The sequence below is a fragment of the Homo sapiens genome, chromosome 10 (genome assembly GCF_000001405.40).
Source record: "Homo sapiens chromosome 10, GRCh38.p14 Primary Assembly".
Lineage (NCBI taxonomy): Eukaryota > Metazoa > Chordata > Mammalia > Primates > Hominidae > Homo > Homo sapiens.
The window spans coordinates 68,689,652-68,712,833 of NC_000010.11; the positions used below are offsets into that span (position 1 = coordinate 68,689,652).

Consider the following 23,182-nt stretch of genomic DNA (forward strand, 5'->3'; position numbering starts at 1 on the left):
GCTTGTAGTCCCAGCTACTCGGGAGGCTGAGGCGGGGGAATCGCTTGAACCTGGGAGGCAGAAATTGCAGTGAGCCAGGATCGCACCACTGCACTCCAGCCTGGGCAACAGAGCGAGACTCCATCTCAAAAAAAAAAAAGAACTTCATAACAGGGAGAATGTCCTCAAGGAAAATGTTCCCATTGGATGTGAGATTTATGTGGATGTGTCAGAGCAAATAACCCACAGTTGACATCTTGAGAGTAATGATCTCCTTCCTTAATGAGAAGGAAACTAAGCTGAAATACTCTTGCTTTTGAGGGTCACAAAGATTTATATTCAAGTACAATATTTTGCTTGACTTCCCTCTGCCTAACCTTGGACTTTGCCAGTTAAGATGTTTTGTTACCTAGAAATATTTATAAACTATTACTTGTTTTTACTTTTTAAAATATAGGGTCATACAATGCCTAAAACGTATCTAAATATCTTTGAATAGTTAAATATTGCTGTATGTGATTGTATTACAATACCTGCACAATATTACAACATTTAGTTGTATTACTTACTTCCTACCTAATTAGTTCAATTCTAATATTTTACTATTTCAAACAATGAACAGCCATCCTTTTGGCTAGATTTTTGCACTTATTTATGCCTCTTTCCCAAAGGAAGAGTTCTTTAAAGAAAATTATGGCCGGGCGCAGTAGCTCAAGCCTGTAATCCCAGCACTTTGGGAGGCCGAGGTGGGTGGATCATGAGGTCAGGAGATCGAGACCATCCTGGCTAACACGGTGAAACCCTGTCTCTACTAAAAAATACAAAAAATTAGCCAGGCGTGGTGGCAGGCGCCTGTAGTCCCAGCTACTCGGGAGGTTGAGGCAAGAGAATGGCATGAGCCGAGATCGTGCCACTGCACTCCAGCCTGGGGGACAGAGCGAGACTCCGTCTCCAAAAAAAACATAAAAATAAAAATTATTAGATGAAAAATTATACAAAACTACATAAAATTTTTAATTCGTGTTTGTGATTTGAAATGAACAGAACAAAACCAACCAACACAACATCAGCGTTTTCTTATATAATTCTTTGTACTTGTCTTTGAAAATACTTTTTAAAAGGCAACCCCTACCAAAAGTAATTTGTATTTTTCTTCACATTTGGTGTCCTTGTTTAGGGAGTAACACTGAGACCGTGCAACCTGAAGTAAAAAGTGAAACCGAACCCCATTTTATCTTAAAAAGTTCAGACAACACTAAAACTTATTCGCTGATGCCATCCGCTCCTCACCCAGTGAAAGAGGCATCTCCAGGCTTCTCCTGGTCCCCGAAGACTGCTTCAGCCACACCAGCTCCACTGAAGAATGACGCAACAGCCTCATGCGGGTTTTCAGAAAGAAGCAGCACTCCCCACTGTACGATGCCTTCGGGAAGACTCAGTGGTGCCAATGCAGCTGCTGCTGATGGCCCTGGCATTTCACAGCTTGGCGAAGTGGCTCCTCTCCCCACCCTGTCTGCTCCTGTGATGGAGCCCCTCATTAATTCTGAGCCTTCCACTGGTGTGACTGAGCCGCTAACGCCTCATCAGCCAAACCACCAGCCCTCCTTCCTCACCTCTCCTCAAGACCTTGCCTCTTCTCCAATGGAAGAAGATGAGCAGCATTCTGAAGCAGATGAGCCTCCATCAGACGAACCCCTATCTGATGACCCCCTGTCACCTGCTGAGGAGAAATTGCCCCACATTGATGAGTATTGGTCAGACAGTGAGCACATCTTTTTGGATGCAAATATTGGTGGGGTGGCCATCGCACCTGCTCACGGCTCGGTTTTGATTGAGTGTGCCCGGCGAGAGCTGCACGCTACCACTCCTGTTGAGCACCCCAACCGTAATCATCCAACCCGCCTCTCCCTTGTCTTTTACCAGCACAAAAACCTAAATAAGCCCCAACATGGTTTTGAACTAAACAAGATTAAGTTTGAGGCTAAAGAAGCTAAGAATAAGAAAATGAAGGCCTCAGAGCAAAAAGACCAGGCAGCTAATGAAGGTCCAGAACAGTCCTCTGAAGTAAATGAATTGAACCAAATTCCTTCTCATAAAGCATTAACATTAACCCATGACAATGTTGTCACCGTGTCCCCTTATGCTCTCACACACGTTGCGGGGCCCTATAACCATTGGGTCTGAAGGCTTTTCTCCCCCTCTTAATGCCTTTGCTAGTGCAGTGTATTTTTTCAAGGTGCTGTTAAAAGAAAGTCATGTTGTCGTTTACTATCTTCATCTCACCCATTTCAAGTCTGAGGTAAAAAAATAATAATGATAACAAAACGGGGTGGGTATTCTTAACTGTGACTATATTTTGACAATTGGTAGAAGGTGCACATTTTAAGCAAAAATAAAAGTTTTATAGTTTTAAATACATAAAGAAATGTTTCAGTTAGGCATTAACCTTGATAGAATCACTCAGTTTGGTGCTTTAAATTAAGTCTGTTTACTATGAAACAAGAGTCATTTTTAGAGGATTTTAACAGGTTCATGTTCTATGATGTAAAATCAAGACACACAGTGTTAACTCTACACAGCTTCTGGTGCTTAACCACATCCACACAGTTAAAAATAAGCTGAATTATTATTTCATGGTGCCATTGTTCCAACATCTTCCAATCATTGCTAGAAAATTGGCATATTCCTTTGAAATAAACTTATGAAATGTTTTCTCTCTTAAAATATTTCTCCTGTGTAAAATAAATCATTGTTGTTAGTAATGGTTGGAGGCTGTTCATAAATTGTAAATATATATTTTAAAAGCACTTTCTATTTTTAAAAGTAACTTGAAATAATATAGTATAAGAATCCTATTGTCTATTGTTTGTGCATATTTGCATACAAGAGAAATCATTTATCCTTGCTGTGTAGAGTTCCATCTTGTTAACTGCAGTATGTATTCTAATCATGTATATGGTTTGTGTTCTTTTACTGTGTCCTCTCACATTCAAGTATTAGCAACTTGCAGTATATAAAATAGTTAGATAATGAGAAGTTGTTAATTATCTCTAAAATTGGAATTAGGAAGCATATCACCAATACTGATTAACATTCTCTTTGGAACTAGGTAAGAGTGGTCTCTTCTTATTGAACAACCTCAATTTAGTTTCATCCCACCTTTCTCAGTATAATCCATGAGAGGTGTTTCCAAAAGGAGATGAGGGAACAGGATAGGTTTCAGAAGAGTCAAATGCTTCTAATGTCTCAAGGTGATAAAATACAAAAACTAAGTAGACAGATATTTGTACTGAAGTCTGATACAGAATTAGAAAAAAAAAATTCTTGTTGAAATATTTTGAAAACAAATTCCCTACTATCATCACATGCCTCCCCAACCCCAAGTCAAAAACAAGAGGAATGGTACTACAAACATGGCTTTGTCCATTAAGAGCTAATTCATTTGTTTATCTTAGCATACTAGATTTGGGAAAATGATAACTCATCTTTTCTGATAATTGCCTATGTTCTAGGTAACAGGAAAACAGGCATTAAGTTTATTTTAGTCTTCCCATTTTCTTCCTATTACTTTATTGACTCATTTTATTGCAAAACAAAAAGGATTACCCAAACAACATGTTTCGAACAAGGAGAATTTTCAATGAAATACTTGATTCTGTTAAAATGCAGAGGTGCTATAACATTCAAAGTGTCAGATTCCTTGGGAGTATGGAAAACCTAATGGTGCTTCTCCCTTGGAAATGCCATAGGAAGCCCACAACCGCTAACACTTACAATTTTGGTGCAAAAGCAAACAGTTCCAGCAGGCTCTCTAAAGAAAAACTCATTGTAACTTATTAAAATAATATCTGGTGCAAAGTATCTGTTTTGAGCTTTTGACTAATCCAAGTAAAGGAATATGAAGGGATTGTAAAAAACAAAATGTCCATTGATAGACCATCGTGTACAAGTAGATTTCTGCTTGTTGAATATGTAAAATAGGGTAATTCATTGACTTGTTTTAGTATTTTGTGTGCCTTAGATTTCCGTTTTAAGACATGTATATTTTTGTGAGCCTAAGGTTTCTTATATACATATAAGTATATAAATAAGTGATTGTTTATTGCTTCAGCTGCTTCAACAAGATATTTACTAGTATTAGACTATCAGGAATACACCCTTGCGAGATTATGTTTTAGATTTTAGGCCTTAGCTCCCACTAGAAATTATTTCTTCACCAGATTTAATGGATAAAGTTTTATGGCTCTTTATGCATCCACTCATCTACTCATTCTTCGAGTCTACACTTATTGAATGCCTGCAAAATCTAAGTATCACTTTTATTTTTCTTTGGATCACCACCTATGACATAGTAAACTTGAAGAATAAAAACTACCCTCAGAAATATTTTTAAAAGAAGTAGCAAATTATCTTCAGTATAATCCATGGTAATGTATGCAGTAATTCAAATTGATCTCTCTCTCAATAGGTTTCTTAACAATCTAAACTTGAAACATCAATGTTAATTTTTGGAACTATTGGGATTTGTGACGCTTGTTGCAGTTTACCAAAACAAGTATTTGAAAATATATAGTATCAACTGAAATGTTTCCATTCCGTTGTTGTAGTTAACATCATGAATGGACTTCTTAAGCTGATTACCCCACTGTGGGAACCAAATTGGATTCCTACTTTGTTGGACTCTCTTTCCTGATTTTAACAATTTACCATCCCATTCTCTGCCCTGTGATTTTTTTTAAAAGCTTATTCAATGTTCTGCAGCATTGTGATTGTATGCTGGCTACACTGCTTTTAGAATGCTCTTTCTCATGAAGCAAGGAAATAAATTTGTTTGAAATGACATTTTCTCTCATAAAACTGGTCATCTAACATTATTTCTACCCCTCTATTATGTTTTACTGTAATGATCACCTTTTCTTATACCTCTCTTATAACACTTAAATTGGGTTTTAAATCTGCGTTTGTTCATAGTATGATCATTGAATTCACTGATACATGACCTCCTAATAGCCCACTCAGTTCATAATATGCTACAAACTTACCAATTTTAATGAGAGAATAATTCCTGCCTATTGCAGAATCGTACAAAATATCATGCTGCCCTTGATATTCCATTTCTTTTTTCTTTTTTCTTCTTTTTTTTTTTTTTTTTGTAGAGACTGTCTCACTATGTTGCCCAGGCTGGTCTCAAACTCTTGGCCCCAAGAGATCCTCCTGCTTCAGCCTCCTAAAGTGCAAGGATGATAGGCATGAGCCACTCCACCTGGCCTGAAATTCCATTTCTAATGGCTCTTCAGCCATTGTTGAAATTTCTTTTTTTTCTTGTGCTTGTCTGTCTCACCTACCTCTTGTTTCCAATTCATCTACAAAGTACCAAATAGACCAGGTCATAAACATAATTGAAATACATTCTTATTGGAAAGTGAGGCTATCTGAAAAGGCATAGCTGTAGGCAAATTATTGCAACATGTTTACATCTTAAATAACTTTCCAACATCTTTGTTACTCAGTCTGCATGTTGATAATTTCATTTATTAAATATAGAACTTCAACTAGATGAGATCCATAAGTAATTTACTTAAGACATAAACTCAATACATATTTAATTGAATGCATACCCTTGTGTAAATAAGCTACTGATTTAATTCACATGACTAACCTACTTTCTAACATTATTACAGTGGATTTCTACTGATAACATTTCACAATAGCGTGTGTGAAAATAACCCTGAACCAGTTTTTAAAACAAAAATTATATTGACTTTTTATCTGGGACATAGGACTTTATTGCACGAAACTTCCACTGACAGGGGCACAGCATTTCCTTCGCATGTGCCAACTAAATCAGTAGCTGTATGCAAACTTTAATAGATTTATAGCTACTACCTTCAATTTCACACCTTGATGCATGGAAATCTTTTTTATCTAGATTTAATACAACTGTGAGTTTTGATCTTTTATAGAGATTTATGACAAGAGAATTTTGAAATAAGTTCATATAGTAGTGGCCTCTCATAGCAATGGAAGACACCTGAGAAATCACAGAGCTCAATCACTGGGGCCCAGAGAGCAGATCTTAATGCTAGATTGTAATTAGAATTTAAATAGATGAAGGCCACTTTGTGTTGAGAACTGTAGGGAAACTTGATTTTCTTACCCAAAGGGTATTTTATCACTGGGAAATAAACAAGTATCAGATGCTTATAAAGTATAGGCTTTCAATTCCCCTGGAACTAGTGTTAAGCATATACAAGAAGTTATAAAGGCATGGATGATTGAAATAATTAAGGAAAGTGTATTTCCACTGTATATACTACCTAGCCATGCTTACAAAGTTCATTCATGCCCTTTGCCTAGTTAGCCTCACAATTAAGCCCCAGCATAGTTTATTTTGATGTAGCTGTCTACATGTATTGGAATACTATTTTATTGCACATAGCTTCTAAACTTGCCCATAAGTATATTGAACACCAGTTGTGTGGCACACTCAACCAAGTGAATGTAATCAATACGTAATTGCTGAAGGAGTCTGGATTTATCCAAATCAAATTATGCTCCATGTTGAGCTACCTCTTAACAGCTTTAGAAAATGATGTCATCCATTGCTCTGGAATGCAGTTCAGAAAGTCAGACTCAGTATGTCCATCAGAAATTAAATTTGTGTGTTTTCATAGAATGTATTGAGATTTATTGAAATGTTCTTGCTTTTCCTATATGTATAAAGGGGAAACTGAGTTCCTTTATTACTTCCTGAGATGGTAGAGCTGACTTTTATGCAGGATATCATCACTATTTTTGTCTGCATTGATAGCTACAAATTTTATTATTATTTTTTTGGTACAAATTTTAATTCTCTACCTTTCAGTGTCTGGATGACTTTTTAATTCCCTATTTCTTCTGGGCTTCCAATCATATACCATTGTTTGCTTCAAAAGGGATATATTATACTCTCTCTAGTAATCCAAAGGTATTCCTAATTTTGCCACTCCTCATTTTCGCTTCTCTTTAAGGGCCTTATAGTATGTTCTAATTTCTCATTTGGTAGTATGCAACATTCAATATTTCTAGCTCTAAAGTTCCATCATTAATTATTTCTTTTTTTCTTTTTTTTTTTCTTTTTTTGAGACGGAGTCTTGCTCTGTCGCCCAGGCTGGAGTGCGGTGGTGTGACCTCAGCTCACTGCAACCTCCGCCTCCCGAGTTCAAGTGATTCTCCTACCTCAGCTTCCCAAGTAGCTGGGATTACAGGTGCCCGCCAACACGCCCGGCTAATTTTTGTATTTTAGTAGAGACAGGATTTCACTATGTAGGTCAAGCTGGTCTCAAACTCCTGACCTCAAACGATCTGCCCGCCTCGGCCTCTCAAAGTGCTGGGATTACAGGCGTGAGCCACCGCACCCCGCCAATCACTTCTTTATCAGCTATACTTCTTTCCTACCTTTACTGTAATACTTATGATCTTGCTTGGGTCATAGGTTTTCTTTTAGTTTGTTCAGCTATAGATGACCTTTATGTTGGAGCAAAACTAGGTCCAAGGTAGGAATGTCATTATTAGATGTAAAACATGTTAGCTGATTTAACCCATTTATGTTTGAATGCAACTTTGAAAACCCTTGGTTAACAGTGTAAAGCTAGCTTTCCTAAAAATAGAAATTTTGTCCTTGGCAGCTGTTATGTAAGTCATGACCCTTGTCTTGTTCATGAGAAAGAAATTTTGCAGCTGTCAGATTTTCATTTTAGGAGAAACAATATTGGAAATTAATTTGGTTTCTTCTCCATTTGGCAAGGTATGAACCTTGACTAGAAACTCTACTTGTTATTTTTCTTTTTTCTCATTTTACTGAAGCTGCAATATCACTAAGCGCACTTTCATTCTTTTTACAGTGTTATTTTTCTTCTCATTTTCTTTAAATTAAAAATCTATTGCTTCCCCTTCTCTGTCCTGTCTGCATTCCTCTGATCCCCTACACAAATACACATGGTTCATTTAAAAAATAGCAACCATCCTGGTAAAGCTGTCTTTTCCATTGTGTCCTGCAAGTTCTTTTAGGTGTAACATCATAAGAAATCACAAACTTGTATTCAACTCTTTTCAGTTTTAGGCAAATTCCATTTTTAGGAATAATAGTTAAGCAGTCACAAGACCACAGGTTAATATTGAGTGCTCTCTCTCACTTTACCAATCCCAACAATGTTTAACTCTTATTTATTAGTGTTTGAGTGTTTTATTTGTGTACAAAGTTAAATATTCTAAGTTCTTCTGTATGGCTTTACTATTTCTAATGTAAATTTACTCCATTGGAATTCTTTGGTTTTTGGCAGTAATAGGAATTATTCTGTAATCTGTGTGAGAAATATTAGGAAATGAACTGAAAGTAATTGAAAGAGGAGGCACAAGTAAACCATCAGAAACGCTTTTGACCATAAGAAGGGGAAATTAAGGGACAGAACGGAAGAACTGTGCTCCTATCAGCAATCTGAGGGTTCGCTCTACCTGCTTAAAAGCAAGAAATATTTTTAATATTTCTTCTCTCTACTCTGTACTAATTTTATCTGAAAAATTGCTGCTGAAACTTAGGAGCCATTTTGAAAGCAACGGTAGTAATCAAAGGTATAATCCTCATGCTATATAATGTTTTAGATTACCAACTGCTTTACTATGTGGAGCGTTTTCTGCCCGTTACTGAGGGTTAGATGGAGAACACTGTTCCCATCTTAGAGGTGAGGAACCTACAGATGGCAAGAATAGCATATGGCTGGCTCCAAGTCACACAGCAAGTCAATCAATCGGAGACTAAAATATTTATTACCTGTAGACTGCTAAATTTCTGCATCATGAACAATGACTTGGAGAGAATGTTGCTGAGCAGAAATTTTGTCACACCTGATCTGAGAATATAAAATTTGTTCATTTGCAAAACATGCTTCTGAAATATTTTGTTTCCATTATTTATTTAGCCAGCTAGTTTCTTATGGGTACTAAAGAAGGTCTCCCAAATTACCTAAATTCCACAATAGGGCTTAGATTTATGAAGTTTTATATTTTTTCCTCCTTATAAAAAGCTCTTTTTATAAAGAATATCCATGTAATACTAAAACGGGGAAATCTCCTAAATAATATATTTTTTAATATTACTTTTTTAAAAAGCTAGGGTGAGCACCTCACAATCAAAATTTAATGTATTTGTCATATTGAAATGCAGGGTTTTTTGAAGGAAACATGGTAGGTAAACATTTTAGTTCCCAACTCCTGATCGTTAAAATGCAAAATTGGGCCTGGTGTGGTGGCTCACGCCTGTAATCCCAGCACTTTGGGAGACCAAGGCGGGTGGATCACGAGGTCAGGAGTTCAAGACCAGCCTGGCCTAGATGGTGAAATCCCCGTCTCTACTAAAAATACAAAAATTAGCCGGGCATGGTGGCAGACGCCTGTAACCCCAGCTACTTGGTAGGCTGAGGCAGAGAATTGCTTGAACCCAGGAGGCGGAGGTTGCATTGAGCCGAGATTGTGCCACTGGACTCCAGCCTGGGTGACAGAGTGAGACTCCATCTCAAAAAAAAAAAAAAAGCAAAATTGTTGGCATCTCTAAGACAGAGCAAGACTCCCTCTCTAAGAGATAGTAGTGTCTCCCACTTAATTGAATTCGTTTTGTTTTGTTTGCTTTGCTTTGATTCTTGCCACGTAAAATCTGTGGGTCTTGACCCAGAGATTTGCTCAGACAGTTAAGAAAAATAATAAGATGTATTTGTAAATTTTTACATAATGAAAAATGAGATGTATTTGTAAAATTTTAAAATAACCTCTTTATAAATACGTTTATAAATATAAAGAGGTAGGATGTTTTGGCTAATTAGCACATTCTGGGTCATACACACACACACACAAACAGGCCAAACACTCTAGATAGTCAAATAAATTCCCCTTTTGGTGATTCAGTTCAGTAATGGTGATTCAGTTCAGTAACTGCCTATCCTCATCAATGCTTGTTTGTGATGATGAAATAGTTGACAACCGGGACTTTACAAAAATAGCTCCTGAAAAAAATTAAATATTTTATTGCAATATATGTTCATATTTTTTTTAACTTTTATGAAATAACATTGTGATAGGTGCTTTAAGAAAAATATTTTTCCAGAAGTGGTTTATAGTATAAACTAAGGGCAGTTTTTACATTGTGATGTGTGGGTGGATGGTCATATTTAGTTAGGTTATTAAGAAATCATGAAGTGTTCCCTAACAAGAAACTTGCAAAGCTATTTGGCAGGAAGAAAATCATTAACTTCTAGTTTATTTATTTTTTTTCTCATGCTATACGCTTAATTACCAAGTAAATTCACTTGCATACCATTACCTTAATTCAAAGGAGAAGCCAGAATGTTTATCATTGGTGGGAGTAAAATATACACAGATTCTTTACCATGGTGAAATAGAATAATACTGAATTCCCAATACAGAAATACTAATTTCATAAGCTAATATTCCTATCTTTTAGCTGACTTCTTTCTCTCTTCAGGATATATTTACTATTTATTATTTACCTTTGAATTTTTGATTTGGGGGATTTTTACCTATTGCCATCCTACTATCTTAAGTATCCTGTACAATGAAATATCTTAGCAAGGAAACACTTTTAAAACTTCACAAATATCCAATTTCATTCTTAACATATGGGGGAAGCAGTAAAAGAAAAAGCACTTCACCACGTAGAAGAGAAAGTGATCATTTTAATTAAGATAATTTCAATTCATTATCAACATTTAATCCTCTGCAAACAAGGGAACACTTACTAGCAGTACTTGAAGACTTGTGAGTTGGAATTGCATGTTACTTGAAAGATCTAATTAAGCTAAATTTTGGTGCACAGCAGGTTGTACATGATTTCATGTTTATGTAGCAAAATGCATTGAAATGTATTAGTGTTGAAACATACATGTAAAGGTAGTTGTGGAAATTGTTATATTTTCCTTGTGTGTCATTTATTTAGAGCATAAAGGTTTTTTTTATTCAGCCTAACTGAATAAGGCTAAATGAATACTGTAATTGAAAATATATTTTAAATCTTTGTCATGAGTTTTTTTAAAAAAAACTATTGCAAATTGTATCATTCCTGATTACACAGAACTTTGTGGGTGGTTTTAAATAAATTTTATACTTCTATTTTGCACCTGATAGTCTAATTTTTCTTTCCTTCTAAAAATCACATTTAAAAGTTTTAATATTCAATAAAATTCACACATTTTAACTACAAAGGACTATAAGATTTAATATTTGGAGATGACTAAATGTATGCATGTGCTCACCATAAAACCAAAATGGCTAGCATTTGTGAAATCCTCATTATGTGCCAGAAACCTTACATTTTATGTAAATTATGTAATTCCCATGGTGATTCTATTAAGGACTCTTATCAGCCTCATTACATAGATCTATTCTGAGGCTTGAAGTTATTAAGTTCACAGCCCTAGTAATTGGCAGAGCTGTTACTCTACTCATGTCCTTACTTGGCTTTATAATTGTTTCAATAAACTTAATACTTTTCCTTAAGTCTGCTAAATTTAAATTTAATTCTGAATGCAGTTTGCCAATATATTTTACTTTTTTTACTTTTTTTTTGAGACAGTCTCACACTGTCGCCTGGGCTGGAGTACAGTGGCACGATCTCAGCTCTGCAACCTCTTCCTCCTGGTTCAAGCGATTCTCCTGCCTCAGTCTCCTGAGTAGCTGCGATTATAGGGGTGCACTACCATGCCTGGCTAATTTTTGTATTTTTAATAGAGACGGGGTTTCACCATGTTAGCCAAGCTGGTCTTAAACTCCTGACCTCAAGTGATCTGCCCACCACTGTCTCCCAAAGTGCTGGGATTACAGGCGTGAGCCATTGCTCCTGGACGCCAACAGTATTTTAAAGACTTCAATATTAAAGGTTTTTTTTACTTTTTTTTTTTTTTTCTGAGACAGAGTCTCACTCTGTCGCCCAGGCTGGAGTACAGCGGGGCGATCTCAGCTCACTGCAACCTCCGCCTCCCAGGTTCAAGCAATTTTCCTGCCTCAGCTTCCTGAGTAGCTGGGACTACAGGTGTGCACTACCATGCCCGGCTAACTTTTTTTTTTTGAGATGGAGTCTTGCTCTGTTGTCCAGGCTGGAGTGCAGTGGGTGATCTCGGCTCACTGCAAGCTCTTGTACCTCAGCCTCCCAAGTAGCTGGGACTGCAGGCATGTGCCACCATGCTTGGCTAATTTTTGTATTTTTTATAGAGATGGGGTTTTGCCGTGTTGGCCAGGCTGGGCTCAAACTCCTGGCCTCAAGTGATCCACCTGCCTTGGCCTCCCAAAGTGCTGAGATTATAGGCATAGCCACTGTGTCTGACCTGTATCAGTGTTTTTTAAACTGTAAGTTACAGTATATGATTGTGAATGAATGAGTTGTGACCAGCATTATAGAAAATGAAATAGAACAGAACGACATATTCAAATATTAGGAAAGTCCTATTTAAAATTAACTGGTTTTTTAACCTTTGAAATTGTGAAATATAATGCCAACAGAAAAATACAAATATACAGCTTAATGAATTATAACACAAATAACCTGTGTAACCTCCATCCAGGTCAAGAAGAGAATATTGCCCATCTTTTTATCATCTTTTCTGTTTGTCTTGAATGTTAATAAATTTCTTTTCCTTTTTTTTTTTTTTTTTTTTTTTTGAGACGGAGTCTCACTCTGTCGCCCAGGCTAGAGTGCAGTGGTGTGATCTCGGCTCACTGCAAGCTCTGCCTCCTGGCTTCACACCATTCTCCTGCCTCAGCCTCCCCAGTAGCTGGGACTACAGACGCCTGCCACCACACCCAGTTAATTTTTTTGTACTTTTTATTTATTTTATTTAATTTATTTATTTATTTATTTTTTGAGACGGAGTCTCGCTCTGTCGCCCAGGCAGGCTGGAGGGCAGTGGCGTGATCTCGGCTCACTGCAAGCTCCGCCTCCCGGGTTCATGCCATTCTCCTGCCTCAGCCTCCCGAGTAGCAGGGACTACAGGCGCCCGCCACCATGCCCGGCTAATTTTTTTTTTTTTTTTTTTTTTTGTATTTTTAGTAGAGACGGGGTTTCACCATGTTAGCCAGGATGGTCCGGATCTCCTGACCTCGTGATCTGCCCTCCTCGGCCTCCCAAAGTGCTGGGATTACCGGCGTGAGCCACCACGCCCGGCTTTTTGTATTTTTTAGTAGAGACGTGTTTCACCGTGTTAGCCAGGATGGTCTCCATCTCCTGACCTGGTGATCCGCCCGCCTCGGCCTCCCAAAGTGCTGGAATTACAGGTGTGAGCCACTGCGCCCAGCAATTTTTATATTTTTAGTAGAGATGGTATTTCACCATGTTAGCCAGGCTGTTCTCAAACTCCTGACCTCAGGTGAAGCACCTGCCTCGGCCTCCCGAAGTACTGGGATTACAAGCGCGTAATTTTTTTTTTTTTTTTTTTTTTTTGAGTCAGAGTCTCACTCTGTCACCCAAGCTGGATTGCAATGGCTGATCTCGTCTCACTGCAACCTCCGCCTCCTGTGTTCAAGTGATTCTCATGCCTCAGACTCCCAAGTAGCTGGGATTACAGGCGTGCACCACAAAGCCTGGCTAATTTTTTGCATTTTTAGTAGAGATGGGGTTTCACTACACTGGCCAGGCTGGTCTCGAACTCCTGACCTCATGATCCCCCCGTCTCGGCCTCCCAAAGTGCTAGGATTACAGGCACGATCCATCATGCCCGGCCTGGAAAAAAAAAAAGTTCTGTTTCATCTCACACATAAAAATAATAAAGTCGGCCAGGTGCAGTGGTTCATGCCTGTAATCTCAGCACTTTGGGAGGCCGAGGAGGGCAGATCACGAGGTCAGGAGATCCAGACCATCCTGGCTAACACGGTGAAACCCCGTCTCTACTAAAAATACAAAAAATTAGCCGGGCATGGTGGCGGGCACCTGTAGTCCCAGCTACCTGTGAGGCTGAGGCAGGAGAATGGCGTGAACCCGGGAGGCGGAGCTTGCAGTGAGCCGAAATCTCGCCACTTGCACTCCAGCCTGGGCGAAAGAGCAAGACTCCATCTCAAAAATAATAATAATAATAATACAATCTGTGTAAAATGTTATGTATTTTCTCTTTCCATGGTTATTACACATAAATTATTTCATAAGAATGAACTAGTTTAGGCCTTGCTAGTCCATGCTCACCTAGAGACAGGTTATTGATTCCATATGTTCCTCGGTGAAAAAAGCACAGTCATATGGCATCTGGCCAAGCCTTTCTACCTACTGAGGCTGGGCTATCCAAAGGTCCCATGGCATGCTGACAGAATCCCAACTCTCATAAGAAAAGACAGTCGGCTGGGCGTGGTGGCTCACGCCTGTATTCGAGCACTTTGGGAGGCCGAGTTGGGCAGATCACGAGGTCAGGAGTTCAAGGCTAGCCTGACCAACATGGTGAAACCCCGTCTCTACTAAAAATATAAAATTAGCCAGGCATGGTGGCATGGACCTGTAATCCCAGCTACTGAGGAGGCTGAGGCAGGACAATCACTTGAACCTGGGAGGCAGAGGTTGCAGTGAGCCAAGATCGTGCCACTGCACTCTAGCCTGGGTGACACAACAAGACTCCATCTCAAAAAAATAAATAAATAAATACATCTCAAAAAAAAATAAATAAATATTTATCTTCAATAAAGTATTTCTAAGGAAAGCTAAAAAATTATGTCAACATCTTTATTTGTTCTGTAGTTTACTTTTTTTTTTTTTTTTTTTTTGAGGATCCTTGCTCTGTCACTCAGGCTGGAGTGCAGTGGTGCAATCTCAGTTTACTGCAACCTCTGCCTCCCGAGTTCGAGCAATTCTCCCTGCCTCAGCTTCCAGAGTAGCTGGGATTACAGGTGCCCACCACTGAGCCTGGCTAATTTTTGTATTTTTTAGTAGAGATGGGGTTTCACCATATTGGCCAGGCTGGTTATGAACTCCTGACCTCAGGTGATCCACCCACCTAGGCCTCCCAAAGTGCTGGGATTACAGGTGTGAGCCACTGTGCCCGGCCTCTAGTTTACTTTTCTTCTTCTTCTTTTTTTTTTTTTGAAACAGAGTTTCGCTCTTGTTGCCCAGGCTGGAGTGCAATGGGTCAATCTCGGCTCACTGCAACCTCTGCCTCCTGGGTTCAAGCAATTCTCCTGCCTCAGCCTCCCGAGTAGCTGGGATTACAGTCTTGCGCCACCATGCCTGGCTGATTTTGTAATTTTAGTAGAGACAGGGTTTCTCCATGTTGATGAGGCTGGTCTCGAACTCCCACCCTCTGGTGATCTGCCTGCCTCGGCCTCCCAAAGTGCTGGGATTACAGGCGAGAGACACCACGCCCAGCCTGTAGTTTACTTTTCATAAAAATTCCATTACAGGCCAGGTGTGGTGGCTCATGCCTCTAATCCCACCAATTTGGGGGGCTGAGGCAGTGGATCACTTGAGCTCAAGAGTTTGAGACCAGCCTGGGCAAGGTAGGCAAACCCCGTCTCTCCAAAAAATACAACAAAATTAGCCAGGTGTGATGGCAAGCACATGTGGTCCAAACGACTTGGTATACTGAGGCGAGAGGCTCACTTGAACCCAGAAGGTTGAGGCTGCAGTGAACTGCGATGGAGCCACTGCACTCCAGCCTGGGTAACAAAGTGAGACCCTGCCTCAAAAACAAAAACAAAAAAATTGGCTAGGTGCGGTGGCTGACACCACACCTGTAATCTCAGCACTTTGGGAAGCCAAGGCAGGTGGATCACCTGAGATCAGGGGTTCAAGACCACCCTGGCCAACATGGTGAAACCCCATCTCTATCAAAAAAAATACAAAAAATTAGCTGGGCATGGTGGCGGGTGCCTATAATCCCAGGTACTCGGGAGGCTGAGGCAGGAGAATCACTTGAATCTGGGAGGCAGAGGTTGCAGTGAGCTGAGATTGCACCACTGCACTCCAGCTTGGGCAACAGAGCGAGAGTGCATCTCAAAAAAAAAAAATTATATGTTACTGGGCATGAGGGTGCATGCCTGTAGTCTCAGCTACCCAGGAGGCTGATGCAGAAGGACTGGTTTAGCCTAGTAGTTTAAGTCCAGCCAGCCTGGGCAACATAGCAAGATCCCATCTCTAAATAAAAACAAGCAACATAAAAATTGTATAAGAAACAATAGGATCATTTATTTTTTATAATTTCAGAGTGGGAAAAGCATGTTACAAAATTTGAGAGGCATAAAATAAAAAAATTACCAATTTAACTATATAAAAATAATAGGGCTGGGCATGGTGGCTTACACCTATAATCCCAGCACATTGTGAGGCAAGGGGGGAGGACTGCTTGAAGCCAGGAGTTCGAGACCATTTCAGGCAACATAGTGGGATCGCATCTCTACAAAAACTTAAGGCCTGGGGAAGTGGCTCACGCCTGTAATCCTAGCACTTCAGGAGGCCAAGGCGGGCGGATCACAAGGTCGGGAGTTCGAACCAGCCTGGCCAACATAGTGAAACTCCATCTCTACTAAAAATACAAAAAAATTAGCCAGTGTGGTGGTGGGTGCCTGTAATCCCAGCTACTTCAGAGGCTGAGGCAAGGAGAATTGCTTGATCCTGTGAGGTGGAGGTTGCAGTGAGCCAGGACTGTGCCACTGCACTCCAGCCCGGGCAACATTGTGAGACTCCATCTCAAAATAAAAAATAAAAAATAAAAATGGCTGGGCATGGTAGGCTGAGCTTGTAGTCCCAGCTATTTGGGAGGCTGAGATGGGAGGATCGCTTGAGCCGGAGATGTTGAGACTGCAGTGAGCTGTGATAGTGGCGCTGTACTTCAGCCTGGGTGACAGAGTGAAAATCTGTCTCAAAAAAAATTTTAATTTAAAAAATAAATAATAGGCCGGGCATGGTGGCTCATGCCTGCAATCCCAGCACATTGGGAGGCAGGGGGGAGCGGATCCCTTGAGGTCAGGAGTTCGAGACCAGCCTGGCAAACAATGGCGAAACCCCATCTCTGTTAAAATAATACAAAAATGCCTGGGCCTGGGCAAGGTGGCTCACGCCTGTAATCCCAGCACTTCGGGAGGCCGAGGCAGGCAGATCACCTGAGGTGAGGAGTTCGAGACCAGCCTGACCAACATGGAGAAACCCTGTCTCTACTAAAAATACAAAATTAGCCAGGTGTGTTGGCCTGTAATCCCAGCTGCTCGGGAGGCTGAGGCAGGAGAATCGCTTGAACCCAGGAGGTGGAGGTTGCGGTGAGCTGAGATCATGCCATTGCACTCCAGCCTAGGCAGCAAGAGTGAAACTCTGTCCAGTAAAAAAAAACAAAAAATAGTAAAAATGGAACCTTCTGTACAAAAAATTTTCCCAAAATCAAAGTTGAAAAAAAAAAACAAGACAAAAACTAACAAAATATTTGAAGCTCGGTCAGGCGCGATGGCTCATGGCTGTAATCCCAGCACATTGGGAAGCTGAGGTGGGCGGATCACCGGAGGCCAGGAGTTTGAGACCAGCCTGAGCAACATGGAGAAACCTCATCTCTACTAAAAATACAAAATTAGCCAGGCGTGGTGGCGGATGCCTCTAATCCCAGCTACTAGGGAGGCTGAGGCAGGAGAATCTCTTGAACCTGGGAGACGAAGATTGCAGTGAGCCAAGATTGCGCCATTGCACTCCAGGCTGGGCAACAACAGCCAAACTCCGTCTCAAAAAAAAAAAAAAAAAAAAAAAAAATATATATATATATATATATATATATATATATATATGTATATATTTGAAGCTCGTATAACAGAAGATTAAAATAATGAGCTCTCAATAATGAATAAGGATCAGTGGCCTAATGGAAATAGAACAAAGGATAGGAACAATTGGCTAATAGAAAAGGAAATACAAATGTCTCTTACAAGTATAAAAAGATATCTTCATGCATAGTAAGAAAAATACTATAGCTACATTAAGATGCCAACAATGGCCACCCTCTTTTCCTTTCTTCTCTTTTTGTGCATGACATATCCTTATGGAGTGGTGGCAACTGTTCTTCCACCTTCTGGAATCTCAGTTGACAGTGTTCCCTTCTTCACTTTGGAGCCCTGAGGTATTACGAGTGAAGGCCAGGTTGCTCTGGGGGAAAGAGAACCTGAGAGTAATGGAGTACTGAAGTGCTAGATTGTGACTTAAGAAACAACACTGGGCCAGGCACGGTGGCTCATGCCTGTAATCCCAGCACTTTGGGAAGCCGAGGTGGGCAGATCACCTGAGGTCAGGAGTTCGAGACCAGCCTGGCCAACAATGCAAAACCCTGTCTCTACTAAAAATACAAAAAAAAAAAAAAAAAAAGAAACAACATTGGGCATGCTAGAATCAGGTAACTCTAGCCCCAGTTGCCATGTGAATACAAGAATATGAGAGAACTTAAGCAATAGCCAGATAGCTGAGCCCAGTCATTCCACAGAGCCAGCAGATATTACTATTTTAAGCCACTAAATTTTGTGATGGTTTGTTATGCCATAAAGCATGGGATAACATAGGCACGTGCCACCACGCTCAGCTAATTTTTGTATTTTTAGTAGAGACGAGGTTTCATCATGTTGGCCAGGCTGGTCTCAAACTCTACCGACCTCTTGATCTGCCTGCCTTGGCCTCCCAAAGTGTTGGGATTATAGGCATGAACCACCACAGCCAGCCATAAATTGGTATAATTCTTATGGAAGTAGAATGGCAGTAACTATTAAAATCATAAATGCACGAAATCTGTGACCAAGCAATCCTTTTAAGAAGTTTGTTTTTTTTTTTTTTTTAGAGACAGTGGAGGGGTCTTGTTATGTTGGTAAGGTTGGTCTCGAACTCTTGGCCTCAAGCAATTCTCCCACCTCGTCCTCCCAAAGTGCTAGGATTACAGTCATGAGCCACTTCTCCCAGACTTAAGAAGGTATTCTATTGATATAATTATATACAAGTGAAATCACATAATCACGAAGTTGTTTATTGCAGCACTGCCTATGAAAGTAAAGAAGAATAAGTAGCTCATGCCTGTAATCCCAGCACTTTGGGAGGCCGAGGCAGGCAGATCACCTGAGGTCAGGAGTTTGAGACGAGCCTGGCCAACATGGTGAAACCCCATCTCTACTAAAAATACAAAAATTAGCCAGGCATAGTGGCATGGGCCTGTAATTCCAGCTATTTGGGAGGCTGAGACAGGAGAATTTCTTGAACCCCAGAGCTGGAGGTTGCAGTGAGCTGAGATCAAGATATCAAGATATCAAGATCCCAACACTGCACTAGACTCCATCTCCAAAAAAAAAAAAAAAAAAAAAAAAAAGAATAAAAAGGGGCCTAAATACCTATCTATTTTGGATTGAGTAAATATCACATGGTAAATTCACAAAAGAATAAGCACTTCAATGGTTAAAAAAAAAAAAGTGGGGGAGGGGAAGCAATTTATATTTGGATATGGAACAATTTCTTTTCTTTTCTTTTCTTTTTTTTTTTTTTTTTGAGACCAGGGTCTTGCTCTGTTGCCCAGGCTGGAGTTCAGTGGCGTTATCTCCACTCACTGCAGCAACCTCTGCCTACCAGGATTGAGTGATTCTTGTGCCTCAGCTTCCCGAGTAGCTGGGATTACAGACATGCACCACCACCCCTACTTTATTTTATTTTATTTTATTTTTTGAGACGGAGTTTCGCTTTGTCACCCAGGCTGGAGTGCAGTGGCCCAATCTTGGCTCACTGCAGCCTCCGCCTCCTGGGTTAAAGCGATTCTTCTGCCTTAGCCCCCTGAGTAGCTGGGACTACAGGTGCCCGCCACCATGCCTGGCTAAATTTTGTATTTTTAGTAGAGACGGGTTTTCACCATGTTGGACAGACTGTTCTTGAACCCCTGACCTCAGGTCATCTGTCTGCCTAGGCCTCCCAAAGTGCCAGGATTACAGACATGAGACAATGCACCCAGCCCTAGCTAATTTTTGTATGTTTAGTAGAGACAGGATTTTGCCATGTACCCCATGCTGGAACATGGAACATTTTCTAAGATATATTATTTAAAAAGCAAGATATAGTACTTGTGTAAAAACGGGGAGAAAAGGATATTTGCCATATTCACTTCATTCTAAGATGCATTTTATAAACCACAGTAAAAAATTGCTGTCACTTTTATCATGTTACAGACTGTGAGATGCATTTCATTTTAAGGAAGAAAGAAGATAAAAATAAACCCAAAATAGGATCAAGAGGTCAGAAAGGAAGCAAATAATGATCAGAGTGGAAATTCATAAAATAGAAGGTAGAAAAACAACAGAGAGAATCAGCAAATCAAAAAGTTGGCTCTTTGAAAAGATCAGACTGGGCATGGTGGCTCACGCCTGAAATTGCAGCACTTTGGGAGGCTAAGACGGGCAGATTGCTTGAGCTCAGGAGTTCAAGACCAGCCTGGGCAACATGACGAAATGTTAGAAATTTGATCTTTTCTAAGTTATCTCATTTATAGCATTACAACTGTTAATAGTATTTTTTTTCCCTTTTTATTTCTGTAAGGTCAGTAGTAATGTCCTCACTCATTTCTGATTCTAGTTATTTGGGCGACCTTCTTTTTTTTTTCCCCGATGGTCATTCTAGGTAAAGTTTGTGAAGTTCACTGATTTTTTGTTTTCTTCTTCTTTTTTTTCTCCTCCTCCTCCTTCTTCTTTCTTCTTCTTTTTTTTTTTTTTTTTGAGACGGAGTCTCGCTCTGTTGCCCAGGCTGGAGTGCAGTGGCGCAATCTCGGCTCACTGCACGCTCTGCCTCCCGGGTTCACGCCATTCGCCTGCCTCAGCCTCCCAAGTAGCTGGGACTACAGTCACCCGCTACTACGCCCGGCTATTTTTTTTTTTTTTTATTTTTAGTAGAGACGGGGTTTCACCGTGTTAGCCAGGATGGTCTTGATCTCCTGACCTCGTGATCTGCCCACCTCGGCCTCCCAAAGTGCTGGGATTACAGGCGTGAGCCACCGCACCTGGCCCTTTCTTCTTCTTCTTTTTTTTTTTTTTTTTTGGAATCAGGGTTTGACTGTGCCTCCCAGGCTGGAGTGCAGCAGCATGATCTCAGATCACAGCAACCTCTGCCTCCTGGGCTCAAGCCATGTCATGGCCTCAGCCTCCCAAGTAGCTGGGACTAAAGGCACCTGCCACTACATTTGGCTGATTTTTTTTTTTTTTTTTTTTGAGATGGTGTTTCACTCTTGTTGCCCAGGCTAGAGTGCAATGGTGTGATCTCAGCTCACCGCAACCTCACCTCTGACTTCCCCAGTTCAAGCGATTCTCCTGCTTCAGCCTCCTGAGCAGTTGGGATTACAGGCATGCGCCACCATGCCCGGCTAATTTTGTACTTTTTTTTTCTTTTTTTTTTTTGAGATAGAGTCTAGCTCTGTCGCCCAGGCTGGAGTGCAGTGGGCGATCTCGGCTCACTGCAAGCTCCGCCTCCCAGGTTCACACCATTCTCCTGCCTCAGCCTCCCGAGTAGCTGGGACTACAGGCGCCCACCACCACACCCGGCTAATTTTTTGTATTTTTAGTAGAGACGGGGTTTCACCATGTTAAGACAGGATGGTCTCAATCTCCTGACCTCGTGATCCGTCCGCCTCGGCCTCCCAAAGTGCTGGGATTACAGGCGTGAGCCACTGCACCCGGCCCTAATTTTGTATTTTTAGTAGAGATGGGGGTATCTCCATGTTGGTCAGGCTGGTCTCGAACTCCCAACCTCAGGTGATCTACCTGCCTCGGCTTCCCAAAGTGTTGGCACTACAGGCGTGAGCCACCGAGCCTGGCATTTTTGTAGAGACAGGTTTCTCCATGTCACTTACACTGGTCTCAAACTCCTGGATTCAAGGGATTCACCCACTGCAGCCTCCCAGAGTGCTGGGATTACAGGTGTGAGCCACCCCGCCTAGCTAATTTTCCGGTTTCTTAATTGCCTTTTTTTTTTTTTTTTTTTTTTGAGACGGAGTTTTGCTCTTGTTGCCCAGTTGCCCAGGCTGGAGTGCAATGGCACGATCTCGGCTCACCGCAACCTCCGCCTCCTGGGTTCAAACAATTCTCCTGCCTCAGCCTCCCGAGTAGCTGGGATTACAGACATGCACCACGCCTGGCTAATTTTGTATTCTTAATTGGCTTTTTTAAAAAAATTATTGCCGAGATGGTGGCTCATGCCTGTAATCCCAGCACTTTTGGAGGCTGAGGTGGGTGGATCACGAGGTCGGGAGTTTGAGACCAGCCTGGCCAACATGGTGAAACCGTCTCTAGTAAAAATACAAAAAATTAGCCGGGTGTCGTGGCGCGCGCCTGTAGTCTCAGCTATTCAGGAAGCTAAGGCAGAAGAATCACTTGAACCCGGGAGGTGGAGGTTGCAGTGAGCTGAGAGCTGAGATCGTACCACTGAACTCCAGCTTGGGCAACACAGCGAGAGTCCGTCCCAAAAAGAAAAAGAAAATTATTATTATTGGCCAGGCATGGCGGCTTACACCTGTAATCCCAGCACTGTGGGAGGCTGAAGCGGGTGGATAACCTGAGGACCAGAGTAGGAGACCAGCCTGGCCAACATGGTGAAACCCTGTCTCTACTACAAATACCAAAAATTAGCCGAGCGTGGTCGCACACACCTGTAACCCCAGCTACTTGGGATGCTGAGGCAAGAGAATTACCTGAACCCCGGGAGGTAAAGATTGCAGTGTTCTGAGATCACACCATTGCACTCCAGCCTGGGCAACAGGAGTGTAACTCCATCTCAAAATATATATATATATATTATTATTATTTTGGTAATTTTTTTAGTATTAACTTTTTTTTTTTTTGAGATGGAGTCTCATTCTGTTGCCCAGGCTGGAGTGCAGTGGCGTGATCTCAGCTCACTGCAACCTCCGCCTCCTGGGCTCAAGCCATTCTCCTGCCTCAGCCTCCTAAGTAGCTGGGATTACAGGTGTGCGTCACCAAGTCCAGCTAATTTTTGTATTTTTAGTAGAGATGGGTTTTCACCATGTTGGTCAGGCTGGTCTCAAACTCCTGACCTCATGATCCGCCTGCCTCAGCCTCCCAAAGTGCTGGGATTACAGGTGTGAGCCACAGCGCCTAGGCAGTATTATCTTTTCTACAAGCTATTAATTGCCTTCAGCTCAAAGTAATTGTTACGTCAAAGAGGCATGTTTTGTGATGACATATTCTG

General features: G+C 40.9%; 1 protein-coding gene across 15 annotated transcripts in view, besides 1 other annotated feature; it reads left to right on the top strand.

The window, feature by feature from the left end:
• Window positions 1–4,836, top strand: part of TET1 (tet methylcytosine dioxygenase 1) — a 134,151-nt gene extending 129,315 nt beyond the window's left edge. For all 15 annotated transcript variants that reach the window (NM_001406365.1, NM_030625.3, NM_001406373.1 and 12 more), the window contains one exon: window positions 1,157–4,836. In NM_001406365.1, the coding sequence (NP_001393294.1) occupies window positions 1,157–2,163 (1,007 nt within the window). In that variant the 3' untranslated portion in view covers window positions 2,164–4,836. The remainder of the gene's footprint in view (window positions 1–1,156) is intronic.
• Window positions 14,075–14,244: an enhancer, noted in NCBI's record as "experimental_16818 CRE fragment used in MPRA reporter constructs". NCBI's record gives its function as "activates a minimal promoter by MPRAs in K562 erythroleukemia cells, with activity observed for the introgressed 10:70463568 variant allele {active_cell/tissue: K562}" and the evidence as "EXISTENCE:reporter gene assay evidence [ECO:0000049][PMID:34662402]".